This window comes from Homo sapiens, chromosome 3 (assembly GCF_000001405.40).
Source record: "Homo sapiens chromosome 3, GRCh38.p14 Primary Assembly".
NCBI classification, from domain to species: domain Eukaryota; kingdom Metazoa; phylum Chordata; class Mammalia; order Primates; family Hominidae; genus Homo; species Homo sapiens.
The window spans coordinates 27,794,912-27,816,537 of NC_000003.12; the positions used below are offsets into that span (position 1 = coordinate 27,794,912).

The window sequence follows — 21,626 nt, forward strand, 5'->3', positions numbered from 1 at the left end:
TTCAGCAAGGCATCCCCTGAAACGAGTGACAGCAAGTCATTTACTGAACGTAAGGGATGTTTATACAGATTGAGAAATAGGTTTGAACTGAAAAATATAAAAAGTATTGCAGTCTGCTGAAGAAGTTGCTGCCACATTTCTGGCAGAGTTGAAGAAGTTGATTAAGGAGAAAGAATAGTATCCAAAGCAAGTCCAAATGCAATGAAATCGAGCTCTCCCAGAAGAAGATGCCCAATAGAACCTACATTCATAATGCAAAGGAGGCACCAGGGCATAAGGCATGGAAAGACAAATTAATTCTGGTACTAGGTGGCAATATTACAGGACACATGATAAAGCCAGGTATAGTGTACAGAGGAAAGAACCCATGCATTCTCAAAGACAAAAACAAAAATTATCTGCTCATGTTCTGGCAACAAATCAGAAAGTATGAGTGCCACCCATCTTGATTGTGGAATGGTTCTACCAATGTTTCATCCTAGAAGTGAAAAAAATAATTGGAAGAGAAAAAGTTGGAATGTAAAGTGCTATTAATAACAGACAATGCTCCCTAGCCACCCTGAATCTGTTTGCTATGAATATGAAAATGTTGAGGCTGTATTTTTACCTCCAAATATAACCATGTCATTGTTTCAGCCCCTTGACAAGGGCATCATTTGGTTTTTCAAGGCCACATGCAACCAGCAGGTACGTGATTGCATTTGATCAGCAACTGACACAGACTCTAATCTGAATATAATGCAGTGCTGAAAATCATTCAGTGTTGCTGATGTAAAAACATTCATTAAAATGACAATGGATGAATTAAAACCAGAAACTAAATGCCCACTGGAAGAGCTTATAGAGTGACGCTGTGAATGATTTTAAAGGCTTCCTGGGGATTGATGGAGAAGTTAGGAAAATCATTCATGCAGCATGACAAGTTGGTAGAGAAGGATTTGTCGACATGCTTGATGAAGTGGAAGAACATATTGAAGACCATTGAGAAGTGTTAACAAGTGAGGAATTAGGAAAACTTGTCATCTACAAAGGAAGAAGAAGAAGAAAAAACTGAAGCAGAAACAGCAATGTGGACATTACCAAAATTGGTTGAAGACTTTCAAATTGCAGGGACATTAAAGCACAAAATTATGGAATATGATTCTCATGTGGGACAGTGTCTTAAAGTCACTGGTATGATGATGAAAAGATTACAGTCTCTGCAGCAACACTTTGATGAGTTAAAAAGAAAGAGACAATAACTTCCGATTACAAAGTTCTTTCAGAAGTTTTCTGCAAAAACCTCAACTACTGAGGATCCCTGACTATTGACATTGTCTGTTCCTGACATCAAGCCAATGGTATCATCATGGCCTCACGATCCAGGATAACCCAAAGCAAATAATCCTTTTTCTAACAACATGTCAGAGGGTCGATAGTAGCATCATAATGCCTATATCACTCACCTCACTTTCTGTTTTTTTATAGGGTCTCACTTTGTCACCCAGGCTGGAGTGCAGTGGCATGATCTTAGCTCACTGCAGACTTGTCCTCCTGGGTTCAAGCAGTCCTTCTGCCTCAGCCCCCTACGTAGCTGGGACTACAGGCATACGCCACCACACCTGGCTAATTTTTTTTGTATTTTTTTGTAGAGGAGGGGTTTTATCATGCTGCCCAGGCTGTTTTCAAACTCCTAAGCTCAAGCACTCCACCTGCCTCAGCCTCCCAGAGTGGTAGGATTACAGGCATGATGCAATGGCCATGCCCGGTCTCATTCACCTCACTGCATCTCATCATGTAGGCATTGCATCATCTCACATCATGACATGAACAAGGGTGAGTACAGTACAATCAGTATTTTGAGAGAGAGATTACAGTATATTGTTATAATTGTCTTATTATTAGTTTTGTTGTTAATCTCCTACTGTGCCTAATTTATAAATTAAACTTTATCATAGATACATACGTGTGTATAGAAAAAAATATAACATGTATAGGGTTTGGTATTAACTACAGTTTCAGGCGTCCACTGAGGGTCTTGGAACATATCCTCTGGGATAAGGATGGACTAATGTCAACCTAAAGGAAGCAGCTGAGGCACAAAATGTAATTTTAAAGAGTTTGCTTGAGCCCAAATGAGCACAGGGGCTGGGAAAACACTTCCAAGTTGCCTTGGGAAGTGCTCTGCTCAGCCTTTGTTACAAGCAGGTTTTCAAAGGCAAAAGGGAAGAAGGAGCGGGCTGATACAAAGTTGTTTGACAGGAATCCTCATTGGTTTACAGATATAACATTGATTAGTGATTGGCCATATATGATTGAACTATAGGATATGAGTTATGGTGTCCAGTGTATGGCATTGTTAGGTTAACTTTGTGGCCACTTGGCATTGGTCAGCCTAGAACCCTCATGGTAAGTGGCTTCAAGAGGTAATGACTTAGCTCAAGGGGCAGAATGAGACTGATTGCTGTCACATTTCAATGCCTCTCTCGGCTTGATAATTTAAAGGGGCTTGCATTTTTCAGATTAAAAGTTTCTTTTCTTTATCACTACTGTACTCTGGATAAATGAACGTAAACTTTGCCCTTGTCTTCAAAATTTATCTTAGCTGCTTTTCCTTTCTGATTTTTGACTCTTGAGCTACTTCCTTCTCTTTCATGCTACGGGTCACACTTGGGTTCATCTTCATGAGGTGTAATGGCGCCGGGATGCGCTCTCCTCTTCTCATTTGCCAATTTATTGCAGATCCCTCCTCAAAAAAGTTTTGGGACTAACTCAGCCCCATGGAGATCAAGGTGAATTAGAAAAACAACAAAACAAAACAAGATTCATTTTAACATCTCATTTTTCTATCTCCAACTTTCCCTCCCCTCCTCCCACCCCAGGAAGAAAAGACTACGTTTGTTTCTGGTGATACATTCATTGTAGGTGGGTGGGTGACTTCTAGAAGAGGAAAATCAAGAAGATTTGGAGAAGGAGTCTTGGAAGCTCTGGTGAAGTTTTCCAAAACTGGGAAGGACAGAGGTATGTGATTACTGGCATCCTGCCGCCGCACAGTGCTCCCGGGAGGAGGGGGAGTATCAGAAGGGAACGGCTGGCTGGACCCCCTTTGCAGAGGCTTCCAGAATTGGCAGTCTTTCCTGTGCTACAGCTTTGCACAGCAGCATTGAGGTGACATGTATTTTTTGGACATTTCCAGAGGAACAATTTACACTTGGTCTATGGTGAGTGGTACCCTCTGGAATTGTTTATCGTAGCAGTCCTATTAGGAACCAACTGGACAATGAACTCGTCGGTAGAAACCAGGGCAGAATATCGCAGTGACCTAACACTGCAGGCTGCCTCAGACCCCTGGTGCCTCCTTAAGTTTCCTGAGGTGGTGGCGGAGGTGGTGGCGAAGGTGGTGGTGGTGAGTGCTCATAAAACCCGGGAATTTCTCTACAATCCAGCAGGATGAGCACTTAAAGGAGGCAAAATTTGAATGATCAGAGTAAAAAAGATGATATTTATTCCTTTTAAGTTTTCCAACAGAACAAAATTCACAACGACCTCCATGTGTTTTACTTAATGAGAACTTAAAATGATTATTTTGTTTCCATTTTTGCTGCGGATTCAGAGCAGATACTCATTGGCTAATGACTAATTCAGAGACACAACCATCCTTTTTCGTAGTCACAAAAAGAAACACCGGGCCGAGTGCAGTGGCTCATGCCTGTAATCCCAGCATTCTGGGAGGCTGAGGCGGGTGGATCCCCTGAGGTCAGCAGTTCAAGCCCAGCCTGGCCAACATGGTGAAACTCTGTCTCTATTAAAAATACAAAAAATAGCCAGGTGTGGTGGCACATGCCTGTAATCCCAGCTACTCGGGAGGCTGAGGCAGGAGAATTGCTTGAAGCCGGCAGGTGGAGGTTGCAGTGAGCCGAGATCGTGCTAACCTGGGTGACAAGGCGAGACTCTGTCTCAAATAATAAAAAGAAAAAAGAAACACTGGATCACTTGGTGAAAATGAGATTACAGGAAAGCAAAACATGCATGAAAAGTAAATAGTAGGGCTTCCACATCTCACCCCCCAGGATTTCACATATTATTGATGTTTTACTGCTTCCAGTTTTCAGATATTCTTTTCTGTGGTTAAAAATAAAGAATTAAAAAAAATTTGCCGGAGTTCAGTATAGAGAATGTATTTCCTAAGGGCACTCTATCTTAGGGTGGTTATAAGTCATAACAATAGCAGCAGCAGAAGCAATGGCTATACAAGACAGTATGTTCACCATACAATATGGAGTGTTAACTTCCTTTTGTAGTTAATCCACATGCTGTCTATTTAGCACCTTACTCCATTTATTTCTGATTATTTCATCTTCCTAAACACAGAAAAGCAGTACAGATTACATCCAATTCACTCATCTTTTTAATTTAGTTAAACACTCAAGTTAGTTATTCTAGGATGCAGGACTGGATTATTGCCACCTACAAGCTAATTGTGCCATTGTAACCCTTCAGGTCAGCCTGAAATAGTATAAACTTCTCCCAGCTACCCCTGGGAGGGAGAGATTTCGGCAAACAGATGTCACCTACTGTGGAGGCTGCCCTTCAAGCCAACAATAAAAAACAATGTTGGTGATCTGTATGTTTTGATGGGGTGCAAAAGAGACATGCTGCCGTGCAGATGGGGCCCAGGGGTTTAGAGGTGAGCAGGAGTTGGATCTTACAAATTCTTCTACTGCCAGTTTTCTCGATCTTGGACACTATTGACATTTGGCGCCAGATAATTCTTTGATTGGGGAGTTTGTCTGCGTATCATAGGATGTTTAACAGCCTTTCTGGCCTCTAACTACCAGATGCCCTTATGCAGTACCCTGCCCCAGTTATTTCAGCAAAAAAAATGTCTCCAGTCATTGCCAGTGAGGAGGTCAAAATCACCCCAAGCTGAGAACCACTGTTCTACAGCAATACCTTTCAAACCTAGTATTAGTTGGTAGCTGTGCTATAAGTCCCAATAAAGTGATAACATTTGGGAAAAAAAAAAGAACTCTGAAAATTTAATTTTTATTATTTTTTAATTTTTTTTTTTTTTGAGACAGAGTTTCACTTTTGTTGCCCAGGCTGGAGTGCAGTGGCATGATCTTGGCCCACTGCAAGCTCTGCCTCCTGGGTTCAAGCAATTCTCCTGCCTCAGCCTCCCAAGTAGCTGGGATTACAGGCATGCATCACCACACCCAGCTGATTTTGTATTTTTAGTAGAGATGGGGTTTCTCCATGTTGGTCAGGCTGGTCTTGAGCTCCCGACGTCAGGTGATCCACTGCCTCGGCCTCCCAAAACGCCAGGATTACAGGCATGAGCCACGCCACCAAGCCCCACTGAAAATTCAATTTTTATGAACTAGACCAAATGTATGTTTATCCCTCTTAGAATGTTGTTGGTAGATACCAACAAAGATATTTCTTGAATGGAAGAGACGGTGGAAATGGAAATGAGATGTGTGCATGATATATTTTTTCCCTACTCCAGCCTGCAGTGGGTTACCAGAGATGAATCACTCATGGCTGTGATGTTATGGGGAAGTGCAAGGCTTTGCTTGCTGTCTTTAGTTCTGAGAATTTGTGAAGATCTGGTCACCCCAGTCACCCCCACTGGTTTCTCATGAAGCCATCGCCTGAGTTGCAGCAGACATAAGAAAGCTTGAGTAAAAACTGCTGATCCATAGCCCAAACAATTATTCGTCTGACACAGCCAACTGGAATGAAGAACTTTTTTGCTTCTTTTCCTACCTCTGTCTCAACTAGCAGGAGAATACCATATCTCATGGGAGTAATGTATCTTGCTGACCATTTCAACTGAGCATATTTATGCAAAGAATAGTAACTAACCATATGGGAGCTAAACTTAATCAGGCAAATTTGTTTAAAAAGTTGGAATTGAGTGTCTTCCACCAATCCTATTAAAAAAAGATACTTCATCCGTATTTATGCTGCTGTCTCTACTATGATGCTTGCTCAAAGAATGAGCAAGTTCAATCTCTTTGGAATACCTCTCTATGTTAGCAATGAGTGTCCTTGGCACCAGTAGGTAAGAAAGCTGAGAGAAGAGGGCTTACTTATACCCAGTGATAATTATGGTGATAGTCTTTCCTGAGGACTAAATTCCATGGTTCTTCAAGGAGCAGTGGGGTGCTTGCTCTGTCTTTTACCTTGAATGCCTCTAAAGCCATGACTCTCTGTGCTCAGCCCCTAAGGTTTTGCGGAGGCAGGCCTGGATCAATGGTTCCCAGGCCTAGCTGAGCATTTATTCACCCAAGGATCTCAGAAGAAATAATCAAGATCATACTCAGTTCTAATATGGTTTTGGGTGTGGGATCTCTGAATATGTATTTTTAAGAATTTCCTCAGGTTTTTCTGATATGCAACTACTTTGAATACCTCTAGAATAGTGAAGATGATGATGGTGGCTATGTTGATATCTACAGTGTATGGAGCTCTTACTGTGCTCCAGACCTGTGTTTAATGCTTCCCATGCATTCACTCATTTCATCCTTCCCAAATCTCTATGAGTTACTAGTATTGTTCCCATTTGAAGGTGAGGAAACTGAGGGTCAAAGAATTTAGTAATTTTTTCAAGTTCATGCAAGTCGCACTTGGCATGCCTCCGGAGCTGGAGTTTTTAACCATTAAACATTTTTTCCTCCCTACCATTTTTTTCAACTGTAAGGGGGGTGGGGGTTAGAATAATCAAGACACATGCAGATCATTGGGGGAAAAGATCTCTCTGAAAATGTCTGGAATTTCTGTAGGCCTCTGAATCTGGGCCTTTTTCTCAGAGTTAAGGAGCCGTTGGGCTGACAGGCACATTTAGGTGTAAAGTTGATTTTGTCATATCTCAGACAGGGAGTCTTGCAGCTCCATAAACAGGGAATGGAGGCTACAGAACTGCCTGAGGGAAAGGGTTCATAAAAATGATATTTTTACTAAGCACCAGAAAGAACATTTTCGTCTTTAAATATGCAGAGACACTACAGCAAGTATCACAAATTCATTCTGGTGATGCAATCAACAACACTTAATTATCAGCTCCACAAGCAAATTAGGTGAGAAAATTACTTGTCTTTTTATATTTATATTATTTCTAAAAGAATTCAAAGAAGATAAGGATTTAACTACCACAGCATATTACTCATAAATGCCTTCTCTTCTTTAAATGTTGTTTTTTTTCTCTCCCTTTGCTTTAGCCACAGGTCTGCCTGTTCTTTTGCTTTGCCATTTGTGTGGATACCTAGTAGAGCAATTTGGGTGCCATTCTTTGAGGAATCCATTGGATCTGTCAGAAAGCTGAGGTAGAGACAGTTGGTGTTAGGGTTAAGTACCAGGACTGGAGATATGTTCCTGAGTGTCTCTGTCTGAATCCATCTGTTTACAACATATGAGGCCAATTTTCTAAGAAGACTGAGCTGCCCTGCCAAGACTGTTTACCAGAGGTGGCTTTTAGGTGATATTTGTGCAGCCATTGATGCTAACTCATAGTCTGCAAATCCTAGCTCCACATTTTCTTTTTCCTGTGAGATATTGTTTTGAGGATATGGAGCTCTGTGGCCTAAGAAAGCCCACAGAGTTAACTCTGCCCATGGAGTTAGGCAGGGCAAAAAGAAAGCCCACCACTCCCCAGCAAAGTCATATTCTCCTCCACTTTCTCACACCTCACATGGCTCTATTCCCAAGGGATCTTTCTGAGATGCTTCTAGAGGGGAAGCTATCGCTTCCTCCTTAGTATTTTCTGAAAGCAATGAAGTCTCAGCTATTTTACTAAATATGCTTGCAACAGTTAGAGGCCAAAGCTTGGTTTCTTCTAGTTTCCCTAATTTGTAAACCTCTATGTTCTCAGTCTGCTCAGCCTGTGTTAGTGGAGAAGAGGGAAGGAAACTGGCTGGAGGCCGCTGGACCCACAGAGGACAATAGACAATCTCCTGCTGTAAGTCACTTCTGGTCCCATCATCAGTTATGCCCCCAGCAATTTGGTTCTCTATCTCCAAAAGCTAGAACAATTAGAGATTCTAGAATTTGTCTAGTCTAGTGTTTCAGAATCAAATGCCAGGCCTGAGGTGGCCAATGCAAAAAAGTGAAGTGAGTCAGGAGGGGACTGTGTGAGCTGGAGAGCACATACCTCAACTGCAGGAGAAGCTGCCTTTAGCTCCATCAGACTGTTGTCAGGAGGCAATGTGAACCCAGGGTGCCAGATCTTTCCAAAAGATTTCATAAATCTGAATTTTTTAAAAAGAAATTTCATAAATTTTTAATGTTAACAAATCATTCATTTTTTTTCACTTATTTTATTTTTTATTTTTTTGGAGATGAGATCTTGCTCTGTTGCTCAGGCTGGAATGCAGTGGTGCAATCACTGCTCACTGCAGCCTCTACCTCCTGGACCCAAGTCACCCTCTTGCCTCAGCCTCCTGAGTAGGGTCACCACACCTGAACAATTTATTTATTTATTTATTTATTTATTTATTTATTTATTTTTGTAGAGACAGAGTCTTCCTATGTTCTCCAGGCTGGTCTCAAACTCCTGGGCTCAAGCAATCCTGCTTTGGCCTCCCAACGTATTGAGATTACAGGCATGAGCCACCATGCCTGGCTCTGAATTTTTAAAAAACTGCTTTGTGGGCCAAACAAAACATGTCTGTCAGATATGGTCTGAGGGTCACCAGTTTGCAACTTCTGCTCTAGTTCAACACTCTTTTTTTTTGGAGACGGAGTCTCGCTCTGTTGCCCAGGCTGGAGTGCAGTGGTACAATTGCAGCTTACTGCAACTTCCGCCTCCTGGGTTCAAGCGATTCTCTTGCCTCAGCTTCCCGCGTAGCTGGGACTACAGGTGCATGCCACCACTCCTGGTTAATTTTTTGTATTTTAGTAGAGACCAGGTTTCACCATGTTGCCCAGGCTAGTCTTGAACTCCTGAGCTCAGGCAATCCGCATCCCTTGGCCTCCCAAAGTGCTAGGATTACAGGCGTGAGCCACTGCGAAAGATGGATCTCCCAGAGGGCACATGGTGTGTCAGCCATTCACAGAATCAGAACCGAGATCTGATGTCTGAACTAGAGGTCAAGCATTCTTTCCTTTACATTTTATCCTCAATTCTCTTGATTTTCATCAACTCAAGGATTCATTTCAACTAGTGATGATTGAATACTTTCCATATACAAAGAACTGTGCTGTTTGAGATTACCAGAGAGTTACATAAAATAATCATCCTTCCCTTCAAGGACTGGTAATTTTCTTGAGAAAGGGCAGAGAAATATGATTTATAATGTGTCTCCTCTGTGCCAGGCACTTTATATCCAACATTTCAAGGACTTTTTAAGAAATTCTATGAAATCAGAATTGTTTACCACCTTCTTTTGGTTAACAATATTACAGATCAGAGAGATTAAGTAACTTGCCCAGGGTCACACAGCTAGAAAGATACAGAGCTGGGTATTGAACTCATGTCTTCTGACTCCAGAGCCCAGAATTTTCCGTTCTTTTTTTTTTTCTCCTTATGAGAAATTGGGGCTGGGCGCAGTGGCTCCCGCCTGTAATCCCAGCACTTTGGGAGGCAGAGGCAGGTGGACCACGAGGTCAAGAAATCGAGACCATCCTGACCAACGTGGTGAAACCCTGTCTCTACTAAAAATGCAAAAATTAGCTGGGCATGGTGGCATGTGCCTGTATTCCCAGCTACTTGGGAGGCTGAGGTAGGAGAATCTCTTGAACCTGGGAGGTGGAAGTTGCAGTGAGCTGAGATTGCGCCACTGCACTCCAGCCTGGTGACACAGCAAGACTCCATCTCAAAAAAAAAAGAGAAATTGGGAGTGTTCATTTAATGCATGTTAATATTTTCCCATGCTTTTCTACTAGACCATACAATAATAGAGTCACCAAAACACAGTATTCAAGAATGCATAGAAGAGTTATTATCACTCTCTAGAAAACTAATTGTAAAGAATATGCAAACTTGCAGAAACAACACGGAGGGGTCAGAGTGAGAAAAAGTTTGACTAAGGAAAGTGTTAGGTTGGGTACAGTGACTCACACCTGTAATCCTGGCACTTTAGGTTCGCTTGAGGTCAGGAGTTGGAGACTTGCTTGGGCAACATAGTGAGACCCCTCAACTGTACAAAAAATAAAAAATTAGCCAGGCACAGTGGCATGTGCCTGTAGTCCTAGCTACTCCAGAGGCTGAGGTAGGGATATCACTTCAGTCCAGGAGTTCAAGCCTGCAGTGAGCTATGATCATACCACTGCACTGCGGCCTGGACAACAGAGGGTGACCCTGTCTCACAAAAGTAGAAAAAAAAGGGATAGATTCCGAGTAGGTGAGCGTTGAGAATGCGGAAAAGAGCTAGCATTGGGTTGTGTGTTCTCAGCCTTTGAATAGGTCATATAAAGAAAATCTATTTTGCCTATTTCTAAATACAGTTCATGATGACTCAGAATCTAGGGGCAGTGGCTTAGAATCAGTTTAGAATCAGCTGAAGGTGCCCCTTGCAGCAGGTCTGTGCCCCAGTAGAGGAGATGAAAGCCTGTCATTCAGAGGGACTTGATGACTTACCCATAATCACCAGGGCCCGGATGCCCTGGCTCTCAGCATACCAGCCTTCCTGTGCAGCACACAAATTCTTGCTCCTTAGCCCCAGCTTCTCACACTGAGCCAAGGCCCAATTTCCGTCTCAAATTTACTTTGTTCTTCTATAAGCATCAAACATTTGACATTTATCATGAAAGGTCTGAACTATTCATCTGACAATTAAACATCCTCTGGGGGCATGCTGAAGGCTTGGTATTTATGTTTGTGCTTTTATTTTTTCTCTTTAGTAACCCTTCCTTTGCCTCAGTAATACTTATATATACTGCTTCAGAACACGTAAAATATTAGTCTATGGAAGAACTATTTATTTTTAATTTTCACTAAAACTATGCTATATTATAGTATCATTTATTCTGTTTTTTCCAGGGTTAGAACTCTTGGGACATAGCTATCAGGGGCTCCCCCAACTTTCCCACATTTATGTGTGTATGTATAGATCCCTACCCCAGAAAACACAATGTCTTTATTTAATAGCCATTGAGTTCACAATTTCTACTTATGGGGACTTGAGAGATGGGAGGCCAAGGTAGGAGGATTACTTGAGGCAGGAGTTGGAGCCCAGCCAAGGCAACGTAGTAAGACCGTGTCTCTACAAAAAATAAAAAATAGCTGGGCACGGTGGCATGCACTTGTAGTCCTAGCTATTCTGGAGGCAGGACTACACACACATTTGTGTATGTGTATACATTCCTACTCCAGAAAACAGAGCATCTTCAGTTAATAGCCCTTGAGTTCGTGATTTCTACTTATGAGGACTTGACAGGTGAGCAGCATATAGCTTCTCCTGGCAGAGGGGTTGGGGCTGGGAAACAGACATAAGGCATGAAAATATCTCATTGGCTCAAACAGCAAGCATAACACCATTGCTATCAGTTACATGTGACCATCTCAGCTCAGGGTTTTTCCACTGATTTGGTGTGCTAACAAAGTGTCTTGGTGATTCTAGAGAAATGACAAACCAGTATCTTGAGTAAAATAATGACTTGGACTGTAAGAAATTAATTAGAAAACATCTGTGCAATGTAGTGGAAGAAAAAGAAAATGAGACCCAGAAGACCCAAATCACAAATCAAAAGGACCTCACAGAAGATTCTACAATTGAGATTATTTATCCTGGGTAAGACTAGAATTTTTGTCTAAGGATATGATGAGAAAACCTTCAGGAGACAACTTTGTCTTTTCTGCTGGGAAATCTGAGAAGTGGCTCAGAGTCTCAGCAGGGGCACCTCCAGCAGTGGTAAGCAATTCCGTGACAAATTGCTCAAGAGGGAAGTCAGTGCTCCTGTCTGGGATGTGTTTTGTACTGCTTTTCAGTTAAATAAAGAGTTCAGAGCAACTAGATTTCTTTATGCCAGTTAGGCAGAAAACCAGGGTTATATTAAGAATCAAATGATAATAGTCGAATATTTGTCGAAAAGCGTCTGACTGTACATAGGTACATAGAAGTTTTTATGTAGTCTGAACTTGATTTCAATTTTATATTAGAGGTCAGCAATTGGCTTGAATGATGGTTTTATTAAGTGGTTATATTTTTAATAAAAAACACATATAATGCATTTTTTATTATACTTTAAGTTTTAGGGTACATGTGCACAATGTGCAGGTTTGTTACGTATGTATACATGTGCCATGTTGCTGTGCTGCACCCATTAACTCGTCATTTACATTAGGTATATCTCCTAATGCTATCCCTCCCCCCTCCTCCCATCCCACGACAGGCCCCCGTGTGTGATGCTCCCCATCCTATGTCCAAGTGTTCTCATTGTTCAATTTCCACGTATGCGGTGTTTGGTTTTCTGTCCTTGCAATAGTTTGCTCAGAGTGATGGTTTCCAGCTTCATCCATGTCCCTACAAAGGACATGAACTCATCCTTTTTTATGGCTGCATAGTATTCCATGGTGTATATGTGCCACATTTTCTTAATCCAGTCTATCATTGATGGACATTTGGGTTGGTTCCAAGTCTTTGCTATTGTGAATAGTGCCACAATAAACATACGTGTGCGTGTGTCTTTGTAGCAGCATGATTTATAATCCTTTGGGTATATACCCAGTAATGGGATGGCTGGGTCAAATGGTATTTCTAGTTCTAGATCATTGAGGAATCGCCGCACTGTCTTCCACAATGGTTGAACTAGTTTATGGTCCCACCAACAGTGTAAAAGTGTTCCTATTTCTCCACATCCTCTCCAGCACCTGTTGTTTCCTGACTTTTTGATGATTGCCATTCTAACTGGTGTGAAATGGTATCTCATTGCGGTTTTGATTTGCATTTCTCTGATGGCCAGTGATGATGAGCATTTTTTCATGGAAAACACATATAATGCATTTTAACTTGAGCTTTCCGTGCCTCAGGAAATCCTAACTATTTTAAGAAACAGAATTACCTGTGTTTTCCTTGTCTCCTGGTGGCAGCTACCTACTTAAACGCATTTATTCCTTCCTAGCTAAGAAGGAATCAGTGGCCTTAAGAAGACAATCTTGAAAAAGGACCTAAGTGATGGTAAGCACCAGATTCATCTTCCTTCTTGGCACCACTCTTGACTCATTAAACATAATGTGATGATAGCCAACCTTCAATAGGATGTAAGCTCCATGAAGGCAGGGACCATCCTCTGCTTCATTTGCTGCTATATCTCAGGTGCCTAGCTCAGTGCCTGGCTTGTAGCAGGCATGCACACACATGCAATGCTTAAAGAAATGAATGACCAGGAGTCAAGAGCAAGACAGAATTTTAAGTTTCCAATACTGAAAATCTCATCGTCAACATTTCTTCATTTTCCTTTTTGTTTGTTATTTGCCTGAAAAGCCTTCTGTTAGTGCTGTATAAATTATATATGTTGCCTATTTTACATCCTAAGGCTATGAACATTATCTGTTCAGCTTACAACTGATAAGTGCTCACCACAAGATAAAGTGATATGTGTACCTAAAAAATTCCACTTGATAAAAATTAAACCCTAAGCAAAACAAGAAAATTAAATTCTGAATTTACAAAATTAGGAAAACACTAGAGGCTGCCTACAGCAATGTATTATAACTTCCTGGCTTCTTTTCATTAGTAGTGAGAAATTTCTCAGGTCATTTGTTGCTAAAAATAATCATAGCAAACATTTAATTATTTTTCCTGTGCCACATACATAGTGCAAAGTGTCAATTATATACGTTATTTTATTCAAACCTCTCAACAGCCATTTTACAGATGAGAAAATGTAGGCTTTGAGAGCTTAAATAATGTGCCCAAGGTCACCCAACTAGGAAGGGCTGGAGTGGGGATTAAGACTCTGTTAGTCACTCCAAAGCCCAATTCCAAACCACCAGGTTACATTTCTCTACATATTGCTCAAAGTGGTTAAAATACTGGAATTAGTAAACGAGATGCTGTTTTTATAAATTAGAGTTGGGTTTTTCTAGATTCTTGTCTCTCTTAGTCATGCGCAGTTTTATTTGCTTCTGGAGTGGAAGTAAAAAGGCGACGTTACACATGGAGTATGGGATCAGTGTATGTCCACCTTATGTGAGTCCATACTTGGCAACTGCTTCTGAGGTACACTATTAAATGTTGTGGCAGTTAACCCCCAAGTGCGTGGGTGCACCTTGAATGATCCTATGTCTTTTATTTCCTCTAAAATCTGTTTCATCCAAAGAAACATGAATTCCTATTCCAGAGTCTTAAATGAACGTGTGTACTGAATTCTCCATAAGAAGTAACAAAGTGAGAAATCTACGCTGCCGCTTACAGCAAAAATGTTGGCACATTCTCTTGAGGTGACTCTTTCCTCGAAGGTCCCCCAGGCTTAGGAGCTCCATGTCTCTCTCTCTCTTTCAAAGTCCTGCATGGCTCTTCTAGACTTTTCTTTTGGGAAATGGCTCCCTGGCCTTTTTTAAGGAAATCAACCTACCAGCTTTTCCCAGCAGCCACAGTTCTGTATCTCTACCTAACTCGTACCCTCTTTCTGGTACAAGTCCCAAGTATGGTGACTACCAGTTTACCAAGGATCTGGACAGGTCAGGATACTGTGTAGGGGAAGGGGGCATGAATAGTTATACTTAAAAATGTCTATTTGTGTAATCAGGGTATTTTTTCCCCTCCAAACCTGAACATCTCCAAAGGACTGTGGCAACTGCATAATATGTATCCTGGGGTTAAAGATTGAAAGCCGTGTATTCAGAAATCATCGTATTTTTAAAAATTACTAAAAAAGCAAAAAGGCTAATATTTGAAGTCATCTTGCCAAAATAGCAGTTGGTCTATATATACCTCTTCGCTTTTCAGTGTGATTTGGTGGTAAGATGAAAAGGCCTTAGTCAAATGTAGACATACTTTCAAGTCTCAAAACACCCTTTTACAGGACCCAGGCTCTATTAAACTTCCCAGCATGCTTTCCTCATTCATCTCCACAAATGCTACATTACAGATTATAAATAGCTCATTTACATGTCCTAATGAGCCATAAGTACATTAACAAGTTAACAAACTTTTGTACAATGTTAATATTTACTCCACCTTATGAGTCCCTGGAATCAAAATCCACACATCTATCACCACTGGTTACATATGAAGGGCACCCGTGCAACTTAGTGGGCATGGATGTGGACGCCTGCAATCCTGTACTGCCTGAAGGGCTGCAAGACCGAGTCAAGCATGTTCCCTATGTGCAATGTGTCAAGGATGATATGTCAACCCATTACCCATGAAAGCCATTTGAGGTTTGTTAGCAAATAGTGGCCTGATTATGAATGGGTGTAGAAGTGCTTTGTTGCATAGGGCTGTTTTGATACTGCATCTTGATGAAGGCAGCTTTCAACAATCCAGCATTACCTAAATTACACATTACTTCTAAGTTAAAGGACACAATTGAAGCAGATGTATTTGAAGCTCTAGAATTGATTCTTCCTATTAAACAAAATACAATGATATCTGAATAAGGGCTTATGACTTTTACAAATATTTATTCTAATATTAATGTGTTAAATATATTTTATCTCAGGATGCTTCATGAGTACATATTTTAGTGAGTAGAATTACATACACACACACAAACACTCACATAAATTACCCAAAGTTGATAGCTTTCGCAGGTCAATTGTGTAATATTAATTAGGCTAAAATTATAATATGTATCTATATATTTAATATATGATATTTGAGTGGGTATAAATGAATAAATAGATAACCGTCACTGTAGAAAGAAGTCTGATTTCCAAATGCCTTTTAAATTATTATTACATGCTATTTGGTTGTTTTTCAGGGGAAGAGATTATATTTAGGTCCTCTTCACCAAATTATTCAAGCTATTTTGAAGAGTTTAAGATAGCAATGTTTAATCTGTATATTGGCTAAGAATTCCGATCACAAAAGTATCTAACAAGGAACTCATATTTCCATTTGAATGTCTCAAAGGAACCTCAAATGAACATACCCAAATCAAATTTATGATCTTCCCCCAAATTTGGTTCTTAGGTTTCCCATCTCAGGGAACATCAGCACCATTCATCCAATTGCATAACCAGAAAGTAGGGAAAAATACCTCTTCTTCCTTCACTCCCAAATTGCAACCAACACCAAAGTCTGTTGATTTTGCAATCTAAGTAATTCTCCAATCCAGCCCCTTCTTGTTATCACTCCAGATATTCCCCAGCCCAATCTGCCATTATCTTCTTAGCAGTGTCTTCTTGCTCACATGAAAAAGCTACTGACTAGACCCTCATCAATCTCTGCAACCTTGTCTCTCATAGGCTGCCCCTTTATTTCATTTCTTCAACCACCTGGTCCTTCTCTCAGTCCTAACAAAATGCATTATGTATCGTGGCCCTTTGTGTTCTAGGTCTTCCAGCATGCTGATCTTTCTTCCCTATTCATCTGCAATTCTCCCAGTAAAGTCCCTTTAGATATCAACCAATACATCACTTTCTTAGAGCTAAGTCTTCTCTGATCTTGCTAGTCTTGGTCAGTTTTGTCAAATACATATTCATAGTACTCTGTGGCTTTTTCTAATAACATTTTAATGTAGTCTTACTCATATATTCAACTGTATGATTATTGTGGTTAAAACCTGTATCTCTCTCTGATTTGATTATAATTTTTCCAAGACCCCAATCTATTCTACTCACCACTCTATCCACAGTAATCATAGGACCCGGAATGAAGTACCTATCCCTTACATTTTGCTAATTGTATGAGTTAATGAAGAGCTATGGATATCAGATATTAAACAAATCTGTTAAGGAATTGAACAGAGAGAAAGACTACTGAGTGACAACTATAGAATTTCACTGTCTTGAAGAAGAGGTTTCCAGACCAGATAACTTCATTAGAAAGTATCTCTAATTGTAGGATGTGACAAATCTCTTGAATTCCTTAGATACAATTACTGTGTGGTGCATCATGAAGTAGGGCAGAGCCTTCCTGAAGCTGCCTTGATATCTATTTCTTTTCTGTTGGACAAGTAGTGTCTTTGCCTCTTTTTCTTGACAAGCAGAAAGTTTTGAACAGCCAAATGGCAAGATACTTGGCAGCAGAGAGCAGGTTTGGGGTGCTAAGCCTCATAAACATGTGGCTTTTCTTTCTCCCTAGTGAAGGCCCAGCCTCATGCATTATAGTTATAGCTCTGTCAATATTCTGAACACTTCATCACAAAATGTATTATAGACTAAGTGAGCTTTGCAAAAGGAAAAGTCATCTTCTTTAAACTACCTCTCAATATGGGAATGCTTGCTGGGTGCAGTGGCTCATGCCTGTAATCCCAGCACTTTGGGAGGCCAAGGCGGATGGATCACCTGAGGTTAGGAGTTTGAGAACAGCCGGACCAACATGGAGAAACCCTGTCTCTACTAAAAATACAAAATTAGCCGGGCATGATGGCACATGCCTGTAATCGCAGCTATTGGGGAGGCTGAGGCAGGAGACTCACTTGAACCCAGGAGGCAGAGGTTGCGGTGAGCCGAGATTGCATCATTGAAATCCAGCCTGGGCAACTCTGTCTCAAAAAAACAAAAAAACAAACAAAAAAAAAACAAAAAAATATGGGAATGCTTTCTAAATTATCTCTAAGAGAAAACAACTCTCCATTATGTATTGCTTAAAGATACAATAAAATTTCTTTCACTGGAAATTTCTTCCTTTTGGTTGGAAGTCTTAGATGATAAATGTAATCCCTCTTTCAAGCCCTTCAAATACTTTGAGGCTGATACAAAAGCTGTTCCTTTAGTACTACATTTTTTCCCTCTTTGTGTTTTTCTGTTTCTCAGTGAATGTTGGATTGTTCTACTTTGAGATATTTTTTCTATTATTATTAATATAGGTAGACTGCAAATTTAAGACAGATGTTTTTGGCATTCCTAAATTCAGAGCCTAGATTCACAAAACCTTGCTGTCTTCCAAAACTTACTCACCAATCTGTGCTCATCTTGTTCTGTAAATTCTTAGCAAGGTCCACTTGGTAATTACACATACACTTAAAATTCTAGTAACATTTTACACATATTTTTTCTTTTCTGTTAGATTTATAGATTGTTTGTATTCCACACTAGCATTGCCTGTTGAAAGCTTATTTGCAATAGGTAATCAACAGAAACACATTGTTTAATTGATCTACGAGTCAGAAATCTCAAATTGTAATCCCAATGGTGTTCAGACTCTAATATTGTTTGGACCTACCTCAACAAACCTTGATTTTTCTCATTTGTGAAAGATATCAAGTCTTAATTTCAACAACTTCATAAGGCTACTTTGAAGATAGATGGAACAATATTCTGAATTTAAAAAAAAATTTAAGAGGTTTAATTTTATTTTCAAACTCCCTGACAATTCCCATGGGATTGTGATTCAAGCTCACACCTCCCCACTCAGTTGTATTTGCCTCTCTGTGTCCCTTTTTCAGCATGAAGATAGACCTGGCAATTGAACTCCTCAGTTGCATCGGGACTGTTGCAAGACCCAGAGTTTTGAGATCATCTGGCTTTGGGGAGAACATTTGACATGTGTCTGCAGATAGTATTACAGGGATCCAAGGGTTGAAGTCACATTGGGCCTGCAGTGTCTTTTTTCATGGGCATAATCAGCTGTCTATATGACCAGATTAAAAAATCAACATGGAAGGATGAGTGAAATAAATATGTGATTTTGGATGACAATCTTTGGGGAGGATTAGGAAGAAGGAAACCAGATTCATGATTGGAGATGGTCAATCTCCATTTTAGAAGGCTGGGACTGCCTGCAGGGCTTTTAAATGCTGACAAAGGTCTATCAGGCTTTAATTGGGCAGTCTAATGTTTTCTTCTTTTACCTTGTGCTCTGATGGAATATCAAAGGGATGATTCTCTCCTGGATTTTGAAAAACAAAATAAATGAATACCAATTGCTCTTCAAGACCAAAACCTATATCCACTTCTCAGAACCGTCAAAGTGCCTTAGGAAGCGGTTTTTGTTTTTAAAAGAAGCCGTCTCTTAGAAGTGTTTTGAGACTGGAAGGAACTACACCAAAATGATAATAGTGGTTGTTGTTTGAGACCTGGGCCTGTAGACAGGGTTTTGTTTTGTTTTGTTTTTCTTTGTTTTCCTATTCTTTTTGAATAGCCTGTTATTGTATTATGACTTTTATTTAATTTATTGTTTTATTTGTATAAATTTAGGGGGTACAAGTGCAGTTTTGTTACATGGATATTGCATACTGGTAAAGTATTATGACTATTTAATGATATAAGAACATAACATAAGAATAAAATATAATATAAATGTTATACATAATATAAAAATAATATAGTATACGATAAAAAGAAAAGAAAAACAACAAAAACAAAGCCACCCCTCCCAAACAAAAGCCCTTCTAACAAAACTAGTTATTCTACCCTTTTATTTTACCGCTTTCAGGGTGCTCTCTTTAATATATGGAAAACATTTCTATTTCAGCTGGACACCAAACTCAATAGCTTTTGTTTAATTTTTATCTCCTCCCTATTCCCAATAAGTCTTTCCTTTATCAAAGTTTGGATTTCAGCTTAACTGAGTATGTAGGACTCGGAAATTGCTCAAAGATGGCAATGTGTAGAATTCCATTTTTTCCCTCCATTTTAATTTCCTTTAGCAATTTAGCACTTCTTTTCAAATCACACATATAGAAAAAACAGAGAAATTTCTTAACACCTCTTTGGCAAGTCACATGGAAAAAACCGCCACTGTTTCTATTTACATGCTTTGGGCAAGTTATATTTCAAATAAAGAGCTTCAACCAAGAACCAAAGGAGAATTTTTTAAAGTCCTTTTTAAGCAACTAATTCCTTCAGACAAGATGTACTATGAAAAGCAAAACACAACCTAGAATTATATACAACAATGTAAGAAGGATGTACAACTTAAGTGTTTATAATACTAAATATTATACTTCAAACTATTGATTTTTAGAGAAAATACAATGTAAATACAAAGTACACTTTATATTTTTCTTATAGGATATTAATACTGACTTTATCTGGAATATATATTTTTAGTAAAAATAAAATCATATGTCCCCAATTGTGCCTCAGATGAAGCCTTCAAATCTTATTGTTTATACTTACTTTCAGCAAAATACCACATTTGGCAGCTCCAGTAAGCTAAAAGAAAGGGCACAATCCTGTATTCACCTAGTTTTTGATTAACATACTTTTACAATATTCACTTCCTTATAAAGCTCGCTTTTGTTTGGGAGGTAAATTATAATTTACTCAAGGAAAGAAAATATGAGGTCAAGGAAAAGCAAATATTGTGTTTAATAATTAAAGCAAATTATTACATTATTTGCTTTAATTTAAACAATTGTTAGATAATTAATTTAAACAATTATTTATTATATTTTATTTTTTTCATATGGTAAATGTATATTTTATAAATTATCGTTATTATTTTTGAGATGGAGTCTCGCTCTGTTGCCCAGGCTGGAAGCGTGATCTCTGCTCACTGCAGTCTCTGCCTGCCGGGTTCAAGCAATTCTGCCTCAGCCTCCTGAGTAGCTGGGACTGCAGGTGTGGGCCACCATGCCCGGCTAAATTTTTGGATTTTTAGTAGAGACTTCACCATGCTGGCCAGGCTGGTCTCAAACTCCTGACCTTATGATCCACCTGCTTCAGCCTCCCAAAGTGCTGGGATTACAGGCGCGAGCCACTGCACCTGGCCACTTTTTTTTTTCTTTTCTTTATTTTATTTTATTTTATTTTTTTTGAGACGGAGTCTCGCTCTGTCCCCCAGGCTGGAGTGCAGTGGCGCTATCTCAGCTTACTGCAAGCTCCGCCTCCCGGGTTCAAGCCTCAGCCTCCAGAGTAGCTGGGACTACAGGCACCTGCCACCATGCCCTGCTAATTTTTTGTATTTTTAGTAGAGATGGGGTTTCACCGTGTTAGCCAGGATGGTCTTGATCTCCTGACCTCGTGATCCGCCCACCTCGGCCTCCCAAAGTGCTGAGATTACAGGTGTGAGCCACGGTGCCCTGCTAACTGGCCACTTTTTAATTATATTTTAAGTTCTGGGATACAGGTGCAGAACGTGCAGGTTTGTTACATAGGTATACATGTGCTATGGTGGTTTGCTGCACCCATCAACCTGTCATCTACATTAGGTATTTTTCCTAATGCTATCCCTCCCCTAGCCCTCCACTCCCTGACAGGCCCTGGTGTGTGATGTTCCCCTCCCTGTGTCCATGTGTCCTCATTGTTCAACTCCCACTTATGAGTGAGAACATGCGGTGTTTGGTTTTCAGTTCCTGTATTAGTTTGCTGAGAATGATAGTTTCCAGCTTCATCCATGTCCCTGCAAAGGACATGAACTCGTTCTTTTTTATGGCTGCATAGTATTCCATGGTGTATATGTGCCACATTTTCTTTATCATTGATGGGCATTTGGGTTGGTTCCAAGTCTTTGCTATTGTGAACAGTACCGCAATAAACATACATGTGCAAGTGTCTTTATAGCAGAATGATTTATAATCCTTTGGGTATATACCAGTAATGGGATTGCTGGGTCAAATGGTATTTCTGGTTCTAGATCCTTGAGGAATTG

The 21,626-nt window shown here is 40.0% G+C and overlaps 1 long non-coding RNA gene across 1 annotated transcript in view; it reads left to right on the forward strand.

Moving 5' to 3' along the window:
• The first annotated feature begins 2,676 nt into the window (after positions 1-2,676).
• Positions 2,677-21,626, forward strand: part of LINC01980 (long intergenic non-protein coding RNA 1980) — a 62,738-nt gene continuing 43,788 nt past the window's right edge. The window contains exons 1-2 of the long non-coding RNA NR_146630.1: positions 2,677-3,000; positions 7,853-7,939. This is a non-coding gene — a long non-coding RNA (long intergenic non-protein coding RNA 1980). The remainder of the gene's footprint in view (positions 3,001-7,852; positions 7,940-21,626) is intronic.